The sequence below is a fragment of the Homo sapiens genome, chromosome 13 (assembly GCF_000001405.40).
Source record: "Homo sapiens chromosome 13, GRCh38.p14 Primary Assembly".
Taxonomy (NCBI): Eukaryota; Metazoa; Chordata; class Mammalia; order Primates; family Hominidae; genus Homo; species Homo sapiens.
In genome coordinates, this window is record NC_000013.11 from 41,649,883 (window position 1) to 41,674,163 (window position 24,281).

Here is a 24,281-nt window from a genome sequence, read left to right on the forward strand (position 1 = left end):
ATTTAAGTGATCACTGCAACACGTGTTGTGCCTTTACAAAGCTGGCTGGGACGGGAAATAATCTAATTCCTTGGATTGTTCATTGTAATTTACGTTAAGTTATGAACCTAGTATTAGCCCCTCCCCTTCAAAGGGTCATTATACATACTCAACAAGTTTTCTAAATTTTAAAGTTAATTCGGTAGCTCTTTATAAATTTTAAAATTAGTTCACCATATAATCTTTAATCTATAATAGATAATAGGAGAAATCTATAATCTTTCTATTATTGTACAGATTTATTATCATAAATAATAATATTGTATACTTATATACTACTTTACAGTTCACAAAATGCTTGAACATGTTATCTCATTTGGGTTTTACAACAATCCTGTGAGGTAGCTGCTATAGTCAGTTCTATTTTACAGATGGGGAAATGGAGCTTCAGAGAGGTTAAATGATAGCCTAAGATCACTGGATAGAACTTGGAATCAAACTTGGTTTTGGCTACCTGGCTCAGAGGTGTTTATTCCATAGCCACAAACTAACAAGCGTAGAAACATGAACCAGGGTGGGATTGATCCCTATTTGATTCTTTGCCAACCTAGGCAATAGTCACTAGTGAAGAGTGAGCTCATTTACAGATACAAAAGGCTCAGCCTGGAAAACTCCAAAGGATTCTCCAGTTTTATCATCCCTCTGAGGGACCTCGTAAAAGCTTTAAATAGCCAAATTAATTGTACATCCATTTACTGATTTACTGATTCATCAAGAATTTATTGAAATCTGACCAGGTGTCAGGCTCCTAGGTGGGTGCTGGGGGTGCCAGCCTAAGTGGGACATACACTCTGCTCTGGGGGAACTTGCCCTTCTGACACATGTCAAAGTCAGAGATCACAGCATGATCAAGGCATAGGGATGCCGAGGAGGGAGGGATGTGTTTTGCTGAGGGTAGACAGGCTGCATCCAAGGAGGGCTTAGGGAGACATTGGCATGCAGCCTTAAAGGAAGAGACACAGGAGTGTGTATGGGCATTCCAGGCAGGGGCCAATGTGAGTGAAGGTGTGGGGTCTGATAAGGCATATTTAAGGGGTGTGTGGACACTGCTTTAGCTTCATTCTTCTCATTCTTACAACCAGAGGATTTTGCTTTGTCACTCATAAAATGCGTAATAAATATAAACAGAAACCAAAACAACATGGTACTGGTACAAAAACAGATACATAGACCAATGGAACATGTGAGAGAAGCCAGAAACAAAGCCACACACCTACAGCCATCTGATCTTTGACAAAGCCAACAAAAAAAAAAGCAATGGGGAAAGGATTGAGGATTGCTTTGACTATTGAGGCTCTCTTTTGGTTCCATACAAATTGTAAAATAGCTTTTCCTAATTTTGTGAAAAATGACATTGGTAGTTTGACAGGAATAGCATTGTATCTGTAAATTGCTTTGGACAGTATCTCCTTTATTTTCCCCCTTTCCTTCCCTCTGATTTCAGGAGATTCCATTTAAAAAAATTATCTTAGAGTGAGAATATAATAGTGTAGAAAGCAGAGGTAGACTGCCCATCTTTTTGGCTTTTGTATTCCAAACCAGGAGTTGGCAAACTTTTCTATAAAAAGCCACGTAGTAAATATTTTAGGCTTTACAGGCCATATGGTCTTTGTTGCAACTACTCAACTGTGCCTTTGTAGTGCAAAAGCAGACACAGACAATACATAAATGAATGAGTGTAGCTGTGTTTCAATAAAACTTTATGGACACCAAAATTTGAATTTCATAAAATTTTCATATGCCATGAAATATAATTATTTTTATCAACTGATTTTTTCCAACTGTTAAAGTTTTTTTTCCAAAAAAATCTTAGTTTGTGGGCCTACAGAAAAAGGTGGTGCAATTTGCCAGTCCCTGTTTTAATTGCTTAGGGAACCTAAGGGACTCTTCTAGAGCTTGTAAGCAAATTTAGCAACACAGGAAAGCCTGGAAGAGAATGGGGCTTCATTTCTCAATCCTGCTCCACCCTGGTGTGAGAAAAGAGATATCAGCAGGTCCTGCCATCCCACAAATGTGTGTACTGTCATTACTCCCAGTGTGAAACATTCTGAATTTGCTGCTAAAATTTCAAATTAATGAGATTTCACTTAAAAATCTAGATTTTGGTCTTCTCTTGAAAATGGGAGGATAAGGCCAAATTGGGGCCAGATTCTCACATGGCAACAGCTAGGTAGTGACTGCCTTCCTATATGGGGCACAACTTCCTGTTCACCTGAGACCCTCCTGGCCTGTGTCCCCATCCACATTGCCTGTCTGGCACCTATAAGCATTTAGTCTAAATTCTACTAAGCAGAGACATCTGTTTTCTTCTCTAAGGGCACAACTTCCATTAAAACTAATCTTTTGGTCCTAGGGAAGCCACATGGGGAAGAGGCATACAAACACGGGCTTCTGAGTTAGATAAACCTAGGCTGAAATCTCAGCTTTGTTCTTTGTTAGCAGAGTGAGCCTGGACAAATTACTTACTCCCAACCTCAGAATGGGAGCAATAATATATACACCTGAAATGGTGGTTGTAATGATCATGTGAGAGAATGTATCAGAAGCAGCTAGCACATACTCAGCAGTTAATTAAAAGAAGAATCACTACAATGGAGAAGTTCTTTGATGTGTATCTTTTAGTTTTAGACCCTGTATTCATTGTTGCCTTTTGTGGAAGGACCTGAAGGATGAGCTTACAATCTACCTTATTTTATAAAAAAAAAGAAATTAAGGCCCAGAGAGGTGAAATGACTACTTAAAACCAACTAGTGATGGAACCAGAAAGAGGATTTGGGTTTCTTAATTTTTAGTCAGAGGAAATTTCTCTGTGCTACAATACCTCACTAAAATTTCTGAATTCTTTCATAAAAGCCTTTCATTTGATAGCCAAAAGATCTTCTGATAGAAAGGACATTGACTCAAGATTTCTGGCTAGCCTAGTGACGATGCTTTTATATTACAACTTCCAAATATAGTGAAATGACAAGAATTTGTCATTAGTTGTTGAAGTTCCAGTATTTATTTGAAATACTCCTGTTCTAAGCTCACCGACACCCTCCTGTGGTCAGTGGAAATAATAATTCCAGTCAAACAAACAAGAAAAATCTGGAGCTATTTAAAGTTAATGGTTAAATGTAACAAGATAGATAGATGTCAAATAACATAATACAAATTCACTATAATTACATTATTTTAGGTCCTAGCCATTGCACAGAGCAAAGATTACTTGTCTATCTCTGACCAAATCTTTAATGAGATTGATAGATTATAATGGATGTTTTCCTTAGGGCTTGTTCACAATAAAACTGCCTGTTATAAATTAATGTAAAAAAATCAGTAGTATTTCTATATACCAGTAACGTCCAAGCTGAAGGCCAAATCAAGAACACAATCCCATTCACAATAGCCACAAACAGAATAAAATACCTAAGAATACAGCTAATCAGCGAGATAAAAGATTTCTACAAATTACAGAACTACAAAATACTGCTGAAAGAAATCAGAGATAACGCAGACAAATAGAAAAACATTCTATGCTCATGGATAGGAAGAATCAGTATTGTTAAAATGGCCACACTGCCCAAAGCAATTTATAGATTCAATACTATTCCTATCAAACTACCATTGGCATTCTTCATAGAATTAGAAAAAACTATTTTACAATTCATATGGAACCAAAAAAAGAGCCTGAATAGCCAAAGCAATCCTAAGTAAAAAGAACAAAGCTGGAGGCATCAAATTATCCAACTTCAAACTATACTACAAGGCTACAGTAACCAAAACAGCACCATACTGGTACAAAAACAGACACATAGACCAATGGAACAGAATAGAGAACCCAGAAACAAAGTTGCCCACCTATAGCCATATGATTCTCGACAAAGTCAACAAAAACAAGCAATGGGGAAAGAACTCTACTCAATAAGTGGTGCTGGGATAAGTAGCTGGCCGTATGCAGAAGATTGAAACTGGACCTCTTCCTTTTACTACATACAGAAATAAACTCAAAATGGATTAAAGACTTAAATCTAAGACCTAAAACTATAACAACCTAGAAGAAAACTAGGAAATACCATTCTGGACATCAGCCTTGGCAAAGAATTTATGACTAGGTCCCCAAAAGCAATTGCAACAAAAACAAAAATTGACTCATAAAAACAAACACACACACAAAGGGAGAAGAGAACACACTCTGTTACCTTAGAATGCCAACTAATAAATGTCAAAGGAATACTGGAATCAGAAAAATCACCACTTTGCAACTATAGTGATAATAACTGATTCAAGCAAGAATCATGAACAGATGATAAAATTAATGGATGAAAGTTTGATGAAACAAGATTCACATCATCTTCAAATATATGCCCACAAAACACATTATAAAGGAAAAAATAGTAATGTCACAGTGGAGACATCACCCTAACCAAATGTTCAAAGTTAACATCACCAGCAATGGGACAAATTGACATCATGTGTCACCTAGTAGAGCAGTCCCCAACATTTTTGGCCCCAGGACCTGGTTTCGTGGAACAATTTTTCCAGGGACAGGGTAGAGGGAATGGTTTCAGGATAAAACTGTTCCACGTCAGATCATCAGGCATTAGATTCTCATAAGGAGGACACAATTTACATTCCTCGCATGCACAGTTCACACAAGAGGGTTCACGCTCCTGTGAGAATCTACTGCTGCTGGCGAGCTGCTGGTCTGACAGGAGACAGCACTCTGGTGATGATGATCACCTGCCAGCTCCTCACTTCTTGCTGTGTGGGCCTGGGGCACTGGGGACTCCTGATCTAACAGGACACATTGAGAACACAGCATTATTGTGATGTTCCTGCCAATGATGCGTAAGCTGGATCTAAAAACAGAAAACATCAGATGAACCCAGACTGAGGGATGTTCTACAAAATCACTGGCCTATAAGTCTTCAAAAATGTCAAGGTCATGAAAGTCAAGGAAAGATGAGGAACTGTTCAGATTGAAAGACACCAAAGAGACATGTAAAGTAAATGTAATACATGATCTGCAATTGCTTCCTTTTTCTATAAAGGATGTTATTGAGACATCTGAAATTTGAATAAGGTCTGTGGGTTACACATTAATGCTATATCAATGTTAACTTCCTGATTTTGAGGTCTGTGTTGTTGGTTACGTTAGGAGAATGCTCTTGTGAGGAAAAACTGAAATTTTTTTTTTTTTTTTTTGAGACAGAGTCTCGCTCGTGGCCCAAGATGGAGTGCAGCGGCATGCTCTTGGCTCACTGCAACCTCCGCCCCCTGGGTTCAAGCAATTCTCCTGCCTCAGCCTCTCTAGTAGCTGGGATTACAGGCATGTGCTACCATGCTCAGCTAATTTTTATATTTTAGGAGAGATGGGGTTTCGCCATGTTGGCCAGGCTGGTCTCAAACTCCTGACGTCAGTTGATCCGCCCACTTCAGCCTCCCAAAGTGCTGGAATTACAGGCGTGAGCCACCACGCCCAGCCAGTATTTAGAGGTAATGGGGCATCATGTCTACAACTCACATTTAAGTGGTTCACGAAAAATAATGTAGATATATAATATATATCCACACATACAGAGAGACAGAGAGAGAGAGAGAGAGAGAGAGAGAGAAAGTAAAAGGTTTTAACAATGTAATTATATTTTATGAAAAAATGGTTACATTATATCTGGGGACAGAAATTATAGAGTTTGGATTTAAGACTCTGGTGATGGAATGAGTTTTTTTTCCTATTATTTTTATCAGCAAGTGCCCTTGGTGAACATATGCTCCTTTTAAACTCGCCAAAGATTAGAAGATATTAGTGATATCTTCCTCAGAGGTTGAAGAATCAAGACCTGTCCTGTAAAGGAAATGCTATTGCAATTTTAGAGAAGCCATATTATATAAATAAGTATTGAAAATACATTTGTATAGTCTATCTATCTATCTAAATATTTCTTGAGCTGGGCTTAGGTGAGAAGGAGCTATATTCAGAATCTTAAAGTATGTTCCTGTTTTATCTTGAAAGCAGTCAGAGGCCTTCCCTACCATCAAACCAGAGGCACAAAAGAGATGTACATCTGATTTTTAAACTTCGAAATAATTATGGGCTACAAAAGAAGAAACATTGTTATTTTAAGACTAAGGGAGTCATAATTACAATAATGGCGACTATTTACTGCTGTGAAATAGTCCTTACAGATTGTTGAGAGTAACCCGAAGCAGACTGGAACACATGAACTTGTTTCCGATATTGTGTCAGATTTTTCTCTTTCTGAGTAATGACTTATATGTAAATATGAAGGCAGAGCAGTTGAGGGAATGATGACTTACAATCAAATGCAGCACTTTCCTCTTTGGCTTGTGCAAAACCTATTTAAGTTTCAGATTTTCCTACGAGGGTTCTACAGATGTTCTTTATGGAAAGGATTATTCAGCCCTCACCAGCAACGTGAAATGTAGGCCCTTCAACAGCTTTGTATTCCCCTCTTAAAACAAACATCCCGAAGAAAAAAATAATAAAAATTATCCAATATGAGTGAGCTCTTTTTCTTGGGGGGTAAGGGGATTCCCACTGTTATGCTACCAGAACACTGTCAAGGAAGACTTGACGAATTTCATTCAGAACCCCAGCAACTGGAAAGTCTCATATGAATTAGACTGGACTAGAGAGTATTTATTTCTGCTCTCTGTATAATTAGAAAACCAAGTATATATTTCTGAGCTATTCATCCAAGGAATTAAATGGAAGATAAAATTAATGGATACTATATCACCATTGGCCTAATTACCATATATTAGGTAAGGATCATGCTTCATGATTGTCTTGTTGAGTGCAAAACAATAAATCTGACAATTCAAGTAAATCTGAAGTCCCGGACTCCAAGAAGTCCTAACTTAGAGGAAAGATCATTAGCTATCACTTGGAAGGAGCTGGCTCTTGCTGTCAAAACCACTAAAAAATAAAAATAAAAATAAAAATCACATGGTCATGCGTGTTGTTCATCCAGCATTTCTTCTGGGGTGCTCCCCTCCCATCCTTATTTCCTAACTTCATGTTTCAGGTGTGACTGATTCAGTCCCTTCTCATTCCAAACTCTAGGGGTGGAGACATGGCCCAGGTCTGACCAATCAAAGTATGCCATCCCTTTGGCCACAGTGATGGGTTCAGGGCATGTGACCTCACCAGCCTATTTAAGCACTCCTGAGGACTTCTGCTGAAATTACACGGAGAGACATGCCCCTTTGGCTGAGGTTGCCAGCTGGAAGAACCATATGTATTACCCAGTGCTACCAGGACCATCTTTGCCACCTGATGGAGAACGACTGTGTGAGAATGAAGCCACCCCCGAGAAAAGCAGAGCCAAGAGGAGAGAGGCTGGGTCCTGTGCCATGTGTTGAGCGCCAGGCCCTGAGACTTCTAGGTTTCTGAGCCAATAAATTTCCTTTTGTAGTTTAAGTTACTGTGAGCTGAATTTTTGTCATATTCTATGTTCCTAATAAACATCATTTTACATACTTTTTGATTCCATAATAAATCTGGAATCACATAAATAATAAGTCCTCTCTTTAAAGGTACAGAGAAAAGTTATTCTTTTTTTTTTTTTTTTTTGAAACGGAGTCTCACTCTGTCGCCCAGGCCGGACTGCGGACTGCAGTGGCACAATCTCGGCTCACTGCAAGCTCCGCTTCCCGGGTTCACGCCATTCTCCCGCCTCAGCCTCCCGAGTAGCTGGGACTACAGGCGCCCGCCACCGCGCCCGGCTAATTTTTTGTATTTTTAGTAGAGACGGGGTTTCACCTTGTTAGCCAGGATGGTCTCGATCTCCTGACCTCATGATCTACCCGCCTCGGCCTCCCAAAGTGCTGGGATTACAGGCGTGAGCCACCGCGCCCGGCCAAGTTATTCTTTTAAGTGGCAGCTTAACCCTAGCACAGCAGATTTATTTTCTGAGGTCATAAATGACATGCAACCTGGCAATGTCATGAGTCAGGATTAGAATGAGCATAAAGGTCTTGTCCTAAGACGTCTACTGGAGTAAAGAAAACCAGGAACACAGACACTGGTAACTTGCTAACGCATCTTTTAAAGGTTAAAATAGATTTGGGGTCTATTGGGTTAAACAAAGTTAAAGAGGTTTCTTTACAGAGAGACTTCTCAAAGCCAGATATTTACCAATTGTAATTTCATCTCTAAGAGGCTACTAAGCTATACAGTGTTTCCTAACAGCTAGAACATGGTATTTTCATGAAAAAAGGGTTCAGAGAACAAACTTTCAGAAACGTTTAGCTGGGCACAGTCACTTGCACCTGTAGTTCCATCTACTTGGAAGGCTGACGTGAGAGGATAGATGGCGCTCAGGAGTTTGAGGCCAGCCTAGGCAAAATGGTGAGATTCCAGTCTGAAAAAAAGGAAACATTTGACTATGCATGTTTCTAAAAACATAGTTTATTTGTCCTGAGCATTTTCCTTGATTGCTCCATTTTCCTTGGCAGCTTGCCATTTTTATGGTTTCATCTAAAACCTTCATGCTCAGGATCATTATATAAATATCTCTCTCACTAGCTTGAAGCTCTTGTCCCGTTTCAATTTCTGACTGAACACAGTCACGATTACCTCACACAGCATATTTACAATGCCTGAACCCTATCTTCTCTCCAACTTTCCTGGTTCCTTCAGTGATCTGCCTTTTTGCCAGACATCCAAACTAGAAACATCCGTAATGTCTGCCTCCACGTCCCATAGTCAGCCAGTCTCCAACAACTCACACCTGGTCATTACCTCAGCCTCACAGTTGCCCAGCTTCACTCGGACTTCCTTCCCAGACCACATCACTCCCATGTCCACCCTTCTAAACACAGCCAATGCTTTTAGCAGTTTTTGAGTGGAAGCAGAGAGCATTGGTGGTTCAGTTCTTGGGCTATAGGTCGTGGAGGAAATACATGGGCTATGCTCTGCCTGGAAAGTGAGCAGTAATATTACATGGGAGAAGGCCTATTCTTATACCTGTATCTTCCTACCAGCAAATCCTGCAGAGCTTTAAATGAAACTCATTCCAGAAAATCATTTTAACCCTGTTAGGCCTGTGTCTCCTTAAGTATTTGTATGAAAGTTCAATTAAAGTTTAATTATGTCAATGGATGAACAAGAAGGAAAACTTTTATATTATTTTTAAAATCCATATTCCTTAAACTGAGGGTAAAGATCACTGGACAGGAGCAAGGTTTGAAACAATTTCTGAGAAAGCTGATCAGTAACAACATCACCCATCATGACCTTGTATCAGTGGAGCTCAGAAATGCAGTTCTTTTCCTACCTCTCCAGTCAGAAGTATGTAAGAACGTGGCTATGGGTAAGTTATGATACATTTAAAAGCAGATTGCTTCAGTACAAAGAAAGTTATTTAACCTCCCTGTGCATTGGTGTCTTAACAGCTCTGTGCTTCGGTTTCCTCATCTGTAAATTGCAGTAATAACAGTACCTTTCATATAGTGTTTTTATAATAATTAAATGAATTAAAAGCCTGCCATTTGTCTCTGTACACTGAGAACAGCATTGGTATATGATTAGCACATGTAAGTATTGGCTATTACTACTATTACTACCATTTTAGGGATTATTCTTCCTTCTTTTAAAACTGCTATTAGAATAGTATTAGTGAAAACAGTGTTCACAACTGGAGTAACTCCCAGGGTGTTAGTCTTTCTTGTTTATCTACTCCCAGGACCTGTGCTCCTAGGTCTATTCAAATAGAGTATCTTACTGATGTCTCTATCCAGCTGTTACATAATTCTGATCTCAACATAAATACAGAAATACTTAAGTAGACAACAACAACAAAGCTTTTTATTAGAATTCAAAAATATGTTCAAATTGGTGACTTCTGGAAACACTTTCATAAGAGAATACATCAGAAACTGTTACGTGTCCTATAGAGATAAGGGACAACCTACTGAACCAAGGCAGTTCAGAAAACTGATGACTAGTTTTGGTTAAGCAAGCATATGAAATGACCACAGATTTAACATATGCTATTTGTCAAAAAGGAATAATGAGGTTTCTCTACTTTTCTCCATGCCACCTTGATGTCTGTTTTCATGTTCTTTTGCTTTATCATAAATACTTTAAAAAATGATATTGATATAGGAAAAAGTTTGGGCTCTAGCCTTCCCATAATCATCACACTGCTACATTTCCACTGGTGAATGGAACTGATGATCACTCTTTTTTTTTTCTTTTTTTCTGAGACAGAGTCTCACTCTATCACCCAGGCTGGAGTACAGTGGCATGATCTTGGTTCACTGCAATCTCTGCCTCCCAGGTTCAAGTGAACTTTGTGCCTCAGCCTCCTGAGTAGCTGGAATTACAGGTGCATGCCACCATGCCTGGCTAGTTTTTGTATTTTTAGTAGAGATGGGGTTTCTCCATGTTGCCCAGGATGGTCTTGAACTGTTGACCTCAAGTGATCCACCTGCCTCACCCTCCCAAAGTGTTGGGATTACAGGCATGAGCCACCGTGCCTGGCCAGATGATCACCCTTCTTAAATCCCAGAGGCATTGGCTTTCCTCTAAACACTCCACAGTGATTTCACTACATTCTTGAGGAGAAGCAGTATCCCTGTGTGGGTCCTGTCTTTCAATGCCTCATTTCTTAAAGAGAGATTGAGGACTCCCAAGAGTCCCATTCATCCTGGGGAAGGAAAGACTGATGAGCTTATTACTACACAGCCTTAACGTTGTTTAGGGGTGGTGATGGGATACCTAATCAACTCACTTCTGTGCACTGAATCACGCTGCTGCAACTGTGCTTGTTTTTACCCCTTTCCTGACAGCAGACTCACTCTTCTGGAAACCAACTTCAGATCCTGCTGCCTTGCTCACTTGAACAACATAGAAATTTTGCAACACTTTAACTTATTTTATCTATTCATCAAAGGAAAGAGTATTAGGGATTAAGAAATGGCATGAGAATCTCTGAGAATTGGGTTTCTTTTTTTTTTTTTTTGAGACGGAGTCTCGCTCTATTGCCAGGTTGGCACGATTTCGGCTCACTGAAACCTCTGCATCCCGGGTTCAAGCGATTCTCCTGCTTCAGCCTCCCAAGTAGCTGGGACTACAGGCGCATGCCACCACACCCAGCTAATTTTTGAATTTTTAGTAGAGACGGGGTTTCACCATGTTGGCCAGGATGGTCTCAATCTCTTGATCTTGTGATCCGCCCACCTCAGCTTCCCAAAGTGCTGGGATTACAAGTGTGAGCCACTGCACCTGGCCAAGAATTCAGTTTTCTGTTATCAATTAAAGAGCATCTAAAAGGATCTTTCTTACTGCTTGCCACGAAGCTGAAAATTATTTGGCTGCTCAGAAACACTGACTTCTATGGGAACCAACATAATTTGATGGAGTTATATAGAGACAAATGCCAAGCTTTTAACTCCACTGGCATTTTCAGATTTTGGCAGGGGGAGGCATTCTGGAAACTCTGGATATCTGACTAGGTAGTGAAAGTTGGTAATGCTGCCTGGGCTGTAGGGCATGGTGGATAAAGAGCACACATTGTAGAACTACTAACTCTGCCACTTACCAGATGTGTGATCTTGGGCAAGTTATGTAACCTCTCTGGGCCTTAGTTTCTCCATCTGCAAATAACATACCTGGAACATTTTCTTACTCCAAAAATGATACCATAGATTGAGACTTTTTTTTTCTTTAACACTCTGACCAAATTAGCTTTCTTGACCTTAGAAGTTTTAAAGTATTCATTTAAAATTATTTTTAAGAATTAGCTTCACAGTCTCTATGTAATTACAACAATGAATGATGACATGGGATTGGATACTATTATTATTGTATACATGGCATTGTATACTATTATTACTATTGTATCCTATTATTATTCCTGGGCTTGTAACTATTGTGTAATTTTATTTGCATATTGAAAAATCAACAAGGTTTTAAACATGTGCTTGTTTTGCATATGGATGTCCAATTGTCAAAGCACCATTTGTTGACTATCCTTTCTCCATTAAACTGTTGTGGCATCTTTGTTGAAAACTGTTGGCAATATGTCTGTGGGTCTAATTTTGGACAGTCTATTCTGTTTCATTGATTTAATTTTTTTGCGAACATTGCACTGTCTTGATTATTGTAGTTTTATAGTAAATCTTAAAATTAGGTAGCATGATTTCTCCAACTTTATTCTTCTTTTAAAAATTATTTTGGTTCATTTAGTTCATTTATCTTCCCATATAAATTTTAGAGTTGGCTTGTTTATAGCTATAAACAAAATCCTGCAGAGATTGAATTGGAATTGTGTTAAATCTGTAGGCCAATTTGGAGAGAACTGACATCATTATTAGGTTGAGTTTTCTAATCCATGAACTCAGTATATCTCTCCATTTATTTAGGTCTTTGATTTCTTTCATTAATGTTTTACAGTATTCAGCATACACATCCTGCACAAGTCTTATTGATTTATACCTAAATAAAAAATTTCATTTTTAGAGAAAGTTGTTTGTAAATGGTAGATGTATTTTTAAATTTTAATTGTTAGTTATCAATTGTTAGTATATAGAAATATAATTGATTTTTGGCTTCGATAAACTCATTTATTAGTTCTAAGAGTAGTTTCTTTTGCTTGTTTGTTTTGTCTTTTTTTTTTTTAATAGATTCTGTGGGATTTTCTAGGTAGGCAATTATGTTGTTTGCAAATAGGGACAGTTTTATTTCTTCCTTCCTAATCTGGATATCTTTTATTTATTTTTCTTTTCTTATTGCTCCTTTTCTTTTTTAAATTTTTTTATTTTATTATGATTATACTTTAAGTTTTAGGGTACATGTGCACAACGTGCAGGTTTGTTACATAGGTATACATGTGATGTTGAATAGGAATGGTGAGCATGGTCATTGCCTTATTCCCAGCATTACAGGGAAAGCGTTCAGTCTCTTATCATTAAAATATGGTGCCAGCTGTGGTGATTTTACAGATGCCCTTTATCGGGTTGAGAAAATTTCCTTCTATTCCTAGTTTCCTGAGAGTACCACTTCAATTTCCAAGCTGCCTTGAATCAAAACCAGAAGACTCTGGAGGAAAAATGAGAAACTCATAGCTGATTACCATTTAGGTAGTTCAAATTCTGGTCTTCTTCCTCAATCCATATGCTATCATTTATTTTTCAGGGACTTTGAATAGTAGCTCATGCATTCTGTCCAGGTTTTATAGCTGCATTCAGTGGGAGAGACAAGGTGAGTGCTTGTTCCACTGTATTCAGAACTGGAATCCTTGAGTCATTTTAAAGTCAAAGAAAGAAAATTAACCAGCTTATTCAGTTACATAAAAAAAAAGTACTGTTTTAAGTTTCAAGGATCCAAAGATGAGTTAAATTTAATCTCTACTTCTGAGGAATTGTTTCATGCCCACCCTCATTCCTCTTTTCCATCTGGTAAATTCCTACTTGTTATTATTTTGACTTGTTATTATTTTGAAGTAATTTTTAATTCTTATCAAAGTAATAAGCATACACGGTTTAATAAGTCAAATAGTACTACAAGATGTATAACAATTTAAAATAGCACCCTTGTGACACAGTCTCCCCCTCAAGCAATTAAGAGGTTAAAGGTAACTACTTCAACTCTGCTTACTACATCTTTTACTATTTACCTCCATATTTCTAAGTAATATTCTTATGTCTCCTTATTTTTCAATTTCAGACATTGTCTATTGACTTCCTATTATGAAAGGTAAGGATTATTTTTCCTCTCCCACCTCAAACACACATCACTCATTTTTTTCTCCCCTCATTCCCCCTAATAAAGTGCTATCATAAACAAATCAATATTGTTTACCTTATCATTACTATACAGTCCCCGACTTACGATGATTCAATTTAACAATTTTTCTACATCGTGGTTCAATTTAACAATTTTTCTACTTTACGATGTAGAAAAATTGTTAAATTGAACCGTCGTTAAGTCGGGGACTGTCTGTATAGTAATGATAATAAAGTGCTGAATAGCTCATGTAACTTACTGAATATATTATGTCACAGTCTAGACATAATGTATTCAGTAAGTTACATGAGGTATTCAGCACTTTATTATCAAATAGGCTTTTATGTTAGATAATTTTGCCCAACTGGGAATTACCTTTGCCACTCTTTCCACCTATGTCTTCCTCTTTCTTGGTTTACTCCCTTTTTTTAGCGACAGCACATCATGCAGTAGCTTCTTGAGAAATAATGTAATGTTTTTGAGATTTGCACATTTAATAATGGTTTTAGTCTACTTGATTAATAGCTTGGCTGGATATAAATTCTAGCCGGAAATCCTTTTCCCTCTTTGATTTTCTCTTTAGTTTCCAATGCTGCTTTGGAGAAACCCAGTGCCATTAGGATTTCTACCACTTTTATATGACCTGTTCCCTACTTCTCTCAAAATTAGAAGTTATCGGCTTTATTTCTTTATCCATGGGGTTCTAAAATTTCAAGTGGACATGCTTTGATGTGTGTGTGTGTGTGTGTGTGTGTGTGTGTGTGTGTGTGTTCCATTTGTTATACTGTATATCTGGTTCTTTAGTTCAGTGAAATTCTTAAATATAGATGCTACTACCTTCCTTGAGTCTAAGTAAAAAAAGCAGACTTTCACTTTATCTTCTTGTTGTATGGTTTCCCTCCTGTCCTAATTGGTGCCTTTTGTAAGGGCAGAGGAGAGCCAGCTGCCTAGAAGCATAGGATAGAGGAGAAAATCTGGATGTCTCAACGGCCTGGACAGACTTTCGACTAATCTTCCAAATTTCAGTGCCACCCCACATTACAACCTTCAGAACTACACAGTATCTTCAAGTCCTGTTGCTAACAAAAGCTTAAAATAGGAGGAGGAAAAAGCTATGAAAAGCTTAGAAAGACAGGATTCCAATTTGCCCTGTGTTTTTGTTGCTGTTGTTGTTGTTTTCCTGTTTTCTACTGTTCTCAGGACTCAGAGTAAATGATGTATACTTTGCTGCATGTTTTTTGGTCTTGTTCTAATTTGTCTTTTAAATAAGGCTAAACACTATAATCCTCTGCTGACAATTGTCCTATCATTGATTTCCTGCTTTTCTTCAAGCTGACAGGTTTAGGCAAAGACCATTTTTACAATTCCTTTTTTGGATCTGACAAAATTTTTTCCAAACAGGATTATAAACAAAGCTTACATTTTAACACTAGTATAGATGATGAATTATGTAACTCATTGGATCATAAGTTAATATTAGGTATTTGAGTAATACTGTTTCATTTAAATTTGGCTTTGTCTCCATAAAGCATTGAAGAATTCCGTAGCCCAATATTAACTTAAATTCTAAGTTTCTATTTTTTATTGTTTACTGAGTACTTACTCTGTACCAGGCATTACTGTATTTCATTCTTACAACTTTGTTAAGGTTCAATTATTTTTATATTATGATTAGAAAGTGAGGCTTTGAAAGAATAAGTAATTTGCCAGAGATCACCTACAAAGTTGAACCAGGATTTTAATCTAGGTTTGAACACTATAAATTTCATGCTCTTAAATAATAAGTTGTACTGCTTATGAATAAAATCATAAATATAATAGCAAGAAGCTTTTATTTCTATAGCCATTGTGATTGTAAGGTATACATTTACATTTAAGTAAGTACTTAATGTAAGTAATTAAGTACATTAAGTAAGTACTTAATGTAAGTACTTAAATGTAAGTGTATACCTAACGAGCTCAGAACCGTAACAGTTCTAGAGTCATTGACTGTCAACCTATTAATTGCATTTCACATTCAGGTTTATAGCCAGTATATTGCAGAATTAATTTGTTTTCTTTATACTTTAATATTGTTAAAATTACCTCTTTACTTGCTGATCATATTGTTGAACAATATGCACTAGTGATATGGTAACACAATTATCCTACGGCCTGTCTTGAGAGGAGATTGAAATAGTCCTGCTGATGATTTGAAAAGGAATTTTTTGAGGTTAGACCTTTTCTAAAGAGTGAAAGTAAGATAATATTTCTATTTTAAATATTAGTTTAACATTCTATAATTTTCATAATTTATAGGGGTATCATTCTTATTGGATATGCATAAAAAGTTAATGAAACCTCACAGCCTCCCTAAAATCATAAACTTGTTTATTTGCTTGCCTTAGGGAGGTGACTGCTGATTTAATTTTAATTGTATTTAGCAATTACTGATAATGTTGTGATCCAATGGAAGCTTTTCTTTTAGAGGAATGTAAAAATCAACTTGCAATTTCTCTCTGAAACACAATCTATATAAGAAAGGAGGCCCATATGCATGAACCCAGGAGTGCTATCTTACTTCAGGGCAGATTTTTCTTCAATTCTTTACTCAAACCAAATTTCTGGTTCAAGAAGAGTATGGCCAATTGGTTACTGGGATAACTGCAGGCTTCCACATTTCCTGAGCTAACATGATACTATCTTATCTGTGTTCTCTGTACCTTTCTCCCTTTTCTCTCATTGCTTCTGTCCCTATCACCATCTTACTGCCTCATTTCTGAAAGCCTTGCTGTTAGGTAACTGCCATAATTCTCTTTGGGGAGTTAGATGATAAAGCCATAAATAAGCAAGTGGCATGATAGAGCTAAACTATATCAGCCTATGAGAGATAACTGCTAAATACTTAGGAATTTTTCAAGCTGATTGTTAACCTTTGGTAGCTTGAAATCATGGTGGGGGTGTTTGCAAAATGGAAACTGGCAAACTTAACAACCCCCCAGTCTCCATGAGAACTAGTTTACTAGCACGCCACCGGGATCTTGCATTTTCACTCAGTACTCCTGAAAATCTTAAAGATTCAAAATGAATTTTCATGGCTGGGACTTCTCTAATAGGAATAAACAATAAAAAAATAATTACAGGCAATGCCCAAGTGTTACCATATAGGGAAACAGCTGGATCATCTTGCTGAAACCCAGCTCTACTGACACGTGGCGAGGAGACATGGATGGTGAGAAATTATAAAAGTTCAGAAAAGCATTGCCTTTCTGGGCCAAGAAAGATTCCCAAAGACACATGTACATATAACAATCCTACAAAATATGGATTGTTCTGTAACAATGATCCACTGAATCAGACTATTTTTTCAGAGTTATTGATCAAAGTAAAGAATGATGTATAAGAGTAAACTATGCTCCTTAAAAAGAACAAAGAATTTCATAATCCCATAGAGGATCTGAAGATTACCTAGCATGTAAATTTACTAATAGTCAGCCAGTTAAATAACCCAGTGGTTTCTAAAACTGAAAATAGAACTTAATATCCAACTGAGATCTTCAAAAATCAAAACTGCTAGACTAGAGATTATAGAAAAGGCCAAGCTTACTTACCTAAGTACATCAAACTGCATTTATTCATAGTCCTAGAAAATTCTCTTTAAAAGGGGGAATAGACTAATAGTGCTAAACATAAATTAGTTATCTTTTCCATGTATTTCTTTCTATGCCTCACTCCTTTTTATTTTCAAATGCTGGTTGTGTGCTTATTGTGTACCAGACACTGTCTTCACTATAATGATGAAAAAGTTCCAGTCTCACACTGTATTTCAGAAGATTGCAACCATTGTTAAAGAATATACTACTTCCTTAAGTACTATTCAAAGGCTGCAGAGAGATCCTACCAGCAATATACAGAAGATTTACTTTGTGATTTCTTTTAATTAGAAAATAACATTTGAAAGCTATAACCTTTTAAGCCTTTTTGCTCCCACAAAAATAATCACCAAGAGAAGATGATCTGATTTCTGAGGAAATCTGTGGTATAGCTTTAACAGCTTTCTTGGAAGGAAGACAAATGTAACTAAGTATGAATAATATACTTTAAATATAGCCAGAAGAATTTTGACTTATAATTAACCCATGTTTCTGAAAATATGAAATCTACAAGTAATAAATATGCATTCTTAATAATGGTCTCTTAAAACTACATTTATATTAATCCTTTCAGTTTGTTGTTATGGTTATTTATTATAGGAAAAACACATGTTTCTATCAAAGCATGTAAAATTAATGAACACATTTTATATGTAGAGCTCAAAAAATACTCTCTTGTAAGCTGTACTCATTAAATAAAAATACCAACAAATTCATTAAACAAAAACAAAAACTCAAATCAACAATGGCAAAGCTAATAACTCCAGAAGGCTGAAATGTAGCAAAGACAAACAGAGTAGTGATAAAACATTTAATTATTAATATACTGTTTATCTCAATATGGACAGTTCCTTTGCTATGATGCAGAGGAATCAGGAGGCATGGGGATCTTTTGTGGTGGATGGCATGGCAGGTTATTTGCCCAGCCCTCACTGCTGACCTAAAGGCGCCTATCTTGCTCAACAGGAACCATACAAGACAAGAGTGTATAAGCCTTTCATTGCCAGCAGGCCTGTTAATTTCCATGATGTAAAAAGTAAGTCCATCTGGCCACTAGATGGAGATCAGGTTACTCTGTCAGTGATGGGGAAGCTGCTTGCAGCCAGCAAGTGTTAAGTAAGCAGGGTATGGAGAACCTATTCTCTTTTTTCAATACTTCTATGAAAGGCATTTTCCAAGCTCTGAAGTTAGGAGCAGATCTGTGCTGAATAAAGAGTATATAAATGAAGAATAGCTTGAAAGATCAAACAGAAAGGGAACTGTAAAAGACAAACATTTGCTTGTTATTACTGTTGCCCCTGGAATGACTTCTATTTAGGTTTGGTTGTATAAACCACTTGTAATTAATAAGATGAGCTGGTCTAAATAAGAACAATTAAATAAGCTGTCTCATTATTTACCAAGCAGGGAAGAAGAGAGATATGACAAAAAATTAAAACAATGATAGATTATTAAGACAATTAGTCTTGTCTGTTTGAACATAAGAATACAGACTCATGTTTGAGTATGTATATAAGTATGCATTTTTAATATCAACCAAAATGGATCAAGGGAACTTAGGGATCAAAGGAGAATGTCAGATAACATCTATTCTAATTTTCCAAATGAAACTATCATTCAATTCTGAATTATACAACTTTATTACTAAATATGTCTCATTTCTGTAATAGCTGAGCTTTATTTTATTTTTTTTTAGAGACAGGGTCTTGTTTTGTTGCCCAGGCTGGGGGGCAGTGGCTCGATCTCAGCTCCTGCAACCTCCACCTCCCAGGTTCAAGCAATTCTTGTGCCTCAGCCTCCCAAGTAGCTGGGATTACAGGCATGTGCCACCATGCCCAGCTTATAGCTGAACTTTAAACTGGAGACATAAAGTTACACATGTCCTGGAAAATGTTTGGTTTAGGGAAAGTTCAGATATTTCACTGTGTAATGTAGCTGAATATTTTGATTATTCTTGAGATGTTAGATCCATAATTCTGTTCATTTCTAACTTAATAACTATATATCCTCATTCAATAAATATTTATTCAGTTACATCTAAACAAATAATTTGTGACAGTTTAAAAGAAAAATTCCATTTGTTATCAAATAGTTTCAATTACCAGTACATTTTAGTATATAGGAGTGTGAGCACAAACAAACATATTAATTGCTTATTGCACCAATCATTGTGCTACAAGCTAGGAGTACAAAGATGTATATATAGCCAGAGAAGTAACTGGAAGAGAAGGCCTACATGATTAAAAAACAAATACAAATTCATTTTTGTAGCAGTCAAGCACAATTATTAAATGATTAGTAAAAGTCCTTTGTAAAGTTCTATCGTGAAAAATAAATTTAATCTTGACCAGATGGAAAACATGACCTTTGATCTCTACCACATATAAAATATAGAAATTCAAACACAATAGTATTTACTATTAGGCACCAATGACTGTAATGAGAACAAGAGCTTAATTCAAAAAGAGAAGAAACTAATGTTTAGAATAATAAATGAAACAGACCATAATTAATTGGCTTTCTAAATATTGTTATGAGTAGTAACCAACATTCAGTCTGTTGCTGTAATCAGTCCATGGCACTTACTTAATCACATGTTTATTTTAGAGTCACACATTTGTTTTAGCTTAATTAAATTAATATATTTATACCCCTTCAAAAAGATTTGAGTTTGAGGTTTTCAAAATGTTCCTACAAGCTTTTAAGGATCTAAGAGAATTATTATTCATTCATGAATATATCTATTTCTGTTTAAAGAAAATCACAAAAATAATCACATAAAATAGGAATTATTAATCAGGTATTGACGAAATAGTTTGTAGAAATTTCTTATTTTGCTAATCGGCTCTTTGCAGAACAACCTGGCTGGGAGGAACCTACTTTTCTTTTTGTTGGATAAGAAAGTAACGTGAACAGGAGAAGTTTTGTTCCAAAGATTAAAATAAATGAATAGCAAATAAATCCCTTTATTATATGCTTTAGTATATATGGGCATATAGCCTTCCTCATTCTTCAAATTAGTTCCAGACAGCAACTAGATTGATTAGATGATGACTGAGTCATTTCTGGAGTTATCAGGTTTCTTTTCACTTTGGTGGCCTGTTCCCATATTTTTCTCCAGTGCAGGGTTGGGTCTACTTATTGTTGACTACTAAATTTGCATTACTTGGAAATAAGGAAGTTGATAAAAAACGTTCTATTGGATGCATATTTTTGCTCACCTTCTCTAGTTTAGAGGTCCTGGCCTTGTAATAATCTGCTGTATTCTAGTTCCTAAATGTTTCTGTTTCCTAGGTAGCATGTAGAGATGCTGACACTGAAGATGGTAAAAGTGAGAACAGATGCAAAGGTGCTACTGGAAACTGGTTAGAGCTTAAGGTTAAAAAACTAAAAGCTGCTGATTGTATTCATATGGTGTGATGTCAGTAACCTGCACATTTAAGCACTGACAGAAAAAAAGGCACATTTTTACTTTTTCATCATTTAGATGGAGAATTTGTTTTTGTCTTTTTATTTTGTATCTAAAAATTCTTTTAGTTCTTTAAGCAACTATTTTTGAGTCACTGGCCCAGAAATTTTCATGACTGTGGCATCTGGAACTAAATTTATACTTGAATGTGCACCTCTAAGAGATAAGGTGAATTCAAATGGTACCTGCATATTTCTGTCATCTTGTCCAATCATGTTTCTCCATTCCATGAGTGATCGCTGCAGACGTTCAAGTCCAGTTTCCCAAAGCCTGATGTGACCTCCCATATCAACAGTAACAACACCGCTTTTGTCCCACTCAGCCAGCAGTGCATCTGTGTCTGAAATGGTCGACAGCCATGTGGTATACGGCGAGAGAGATTCTGATCTGGAAAAAGGAATCCAAGTGAAGCTAAGAGACCACAAAAATAAAGCAGGAGGGATGACACTGCACATTGTAATGTTCTTTACTGTTGAAAAAGTATGCTCACACTACTCATTATTTTATACCTGCTCTTACCTCTGTCACCACATAGGCAGGTTATGAGGATACGCTATGAGCAAAAGTTCTTAAACAAACATGCCCAGGGTTCGTAAGCAAACATGAGGCAGGACAATCATGAATATAAAAAAAAACCAGAAAGACTATTTTAAGAAAGATGTTTTTATAAGTGATCACAGTATATAACTAATTGGTAGGCCAGGAAACAAAGCTGGTTTAAACTGATTAGGTTCTCTAAACTTGCTATAAAGAATTTGCTATGGACTAAATGCTTGTATCCGCATCCCCCCGCCCGCCAAATTCATATGTTGAAGCCCTAACCCCCAATATGATAGTATTAGGAGGTGGGTACTTTTGGAGGTAGTTAGGCTTAGATGAAGTTGTGAGGGTAGAGCCTCTTTTATAGAATGGGATTAGGGCCCTTATGAGAAGAGACCAGAAAGCTTGCACTTGCATGTGGTCTCTGCCTGTTTCCCTTCCCCCCCATTCATGTTAGGATACAGCAAGAAGTTAGCCCTCTGTAAGACAGCCTTCACTAGGAACTGAATTGGCTGGCCCCTTTATTTTGGCTTTCCCAGCCTCCAGACTGAAAATAAATATTTGTCACTTAAGCTACCCACTCTATAGTATTCTGCTGTAACAGCCTGATCTAAGACAGAACTCTAATAATGAGCACATTAAAAGACAAGATATCAACAGAACCATCTGTAAGAAGCAAAAATACACTGTAATTTACTGGTTCTCTGCATTTTCCTGTATTTCCTGACAGTGGACGACACTAGCTTCCACTGTCAGGAAGAAAGGAACCCTATACCAGTTCATACCTCACACGCTAATGAGTGAGTACTGGACTCACTCCTTAGAGGCCTAATGTCAGTGCTGAAACCAATTTCTTGTTTATGCATTTCGACTGCATTTGTATGTGATATTTTGCCTTTTCTGACTTAGAAAGTTACGTGACTCTATAACAAGGAATGTATAGATTTCTTACATATTTCACACATATTTCATTATATATTTCTGACATCTGTATATGTGTGTATATATATATGTATGTATAGTAATTTCTAGGAAAGCAAATTTGTCTGTAAGAGTCAACTGCATATCTCCTTTATCTGAGTATAGCTCTTATTATACAAAAGTGATACAGATTATAAATTCCTATTGTCAGTGTTGGCTTGCAAAATGCATCTGATATTTTCTATATGAAATAAATAGTCTAAAGAGATGGTCTGATAAGAAAAACATAACAAGCTATCATTGTAGATTTTGGAAAAACACAAAACCATTATATATTAGGTAAATTCTTATAATATTCTAAAAGATAAATCAAGACTAATTTGACCTTTTTTCAGTCTGCCTTAGTTGATACTAAACACAGAGTGACAAGGGCGGCCACTCTTGGACACAGAAGACTTAGAAAATGTTCATATGAGAACAACAGTGGGATGGGACCATATGTTCTGAGCTACTTTACAGGACTCCCAGAAGGGCTCAAAGAAGGTAACATTTGATACAATACATGGTACTCTATCAATAAATATTTGCTGCAGGAAAAAACTTAGTAGTTACAGATGATGGAGTAAGGGGCTATTCAAGAATAATGAAATTTATCCATTTGTAACTATGTTGTTTGAAATTCTGCCAAGAACACCCAAGCTGTATGATTCTATTGACCACTGTACCTACTAATTGTCACTACTTAACTCTTCATAGCAAAACTTTACATTTACAGGCAATTTCTTTAATTTATTTAAAAAAAATTACTGAAGAAATTACATATTTACTACAATTTGCACACTAGGTCTAAAATCTTTTCTTCACTTAAAGAATGTTTTCCTTATAAATAATAACAAAGTTTTAAATGAACACATAGAATTATAGTAGAGTGAAGCCTAAATTTATACACAGCCACATATGAAAGCTTGGCAGTACTACTTTACAAATGCAGATAATATAAAACTTTGAAGAAAATTATGTGAGAGCAAAAGTGATGTATTCATTTTGGCCCTGAAGCTACATACAGTTTTATTGTATTTTCTATTATTTGAAATTAGCTATCAAATGGAAAATTCCTGATATCTAGCAGAATGCTAAATCTAAGCTACTAGCAAAAAACTGAAGTCCAGATGGGTTGTTCCCTTGGATTTTATACATATGTCAAAAAAAGCAGTAGTTAAGAGAAACTCAGGACATACTGACAATGAAACAGACTCTAAATTCATACTGACAATGAAACAGACTCTTGACACTTGAAATGTGGCAAGTCCAAATGGAGATGTGCTTTAAGTGTAAAATACATACTGAATTTCAGAGACTTAGGGAAAAAAAGGAATGTAAAATATTTCATTAAAAATTTCATATTGACTACATGTCAAAATAATAATATTTTTGATACATTGGGTTAAATAAAATATATTAAAATTAATTTCACCTTAAAACAATATTTTAGTGTGTCTACCAAGAAATATATAATTACATATATGGCTTTCATTATATTTCCATTGGACAGTGCAGCCCTAACTGAATGAATTATGGTGGCCAGCTGGCTCTGGGCTGTGCACACAGCTGCTCTTCCAGATGTTCTTTCCATGGCAGGTATAACATGTGATTCATACGGAAAGTTAAAAGAGAAAAACGCTGAAATAAAAAACTAGTGAGAGAAATGACTATAAATACTGGAAAAAATTATCAATGTTTTAGATATGTTAAAAAAGATGTTATTTGCTTTTGTTACTTGAATTAGTATATTTTAATGAGCATATAATTAAGATGGAATATGCAATTTCCTCAAATGATTAAAAGCCATTTTCCATTAAACCAACACATTAGGATGTTCCAAGAAGTCATACTTATATATGTTGGAAGAAGTATATTTATTTCTTTGAATGATTTTGTTTTC

At 36.3% G+C, this 24,281-nt stretch overlaps 1 protein-coding gene across 1 annotated transcript in view; it reads right to left on the reverse strand.

Moving 5' to 3' along the window:
• Positions 1–24,281, reverse strand: part of VWA8 (von Willebrand factor A domain containing 8) — a 394,275-nt gene that overhangs the window by 83,048 nt on the left and 286,946 nt on the right. The window contains exon 37 of the mRNA NM_015058.2: positions 21,064–21,265. Coding sequence (NP_055873.1) covers positions 21,064–21,265 — 202 coding nt within the window. The remainder of the gene's footprint in view (positions 1–21,063; positions 21,266–24,281) is intronic.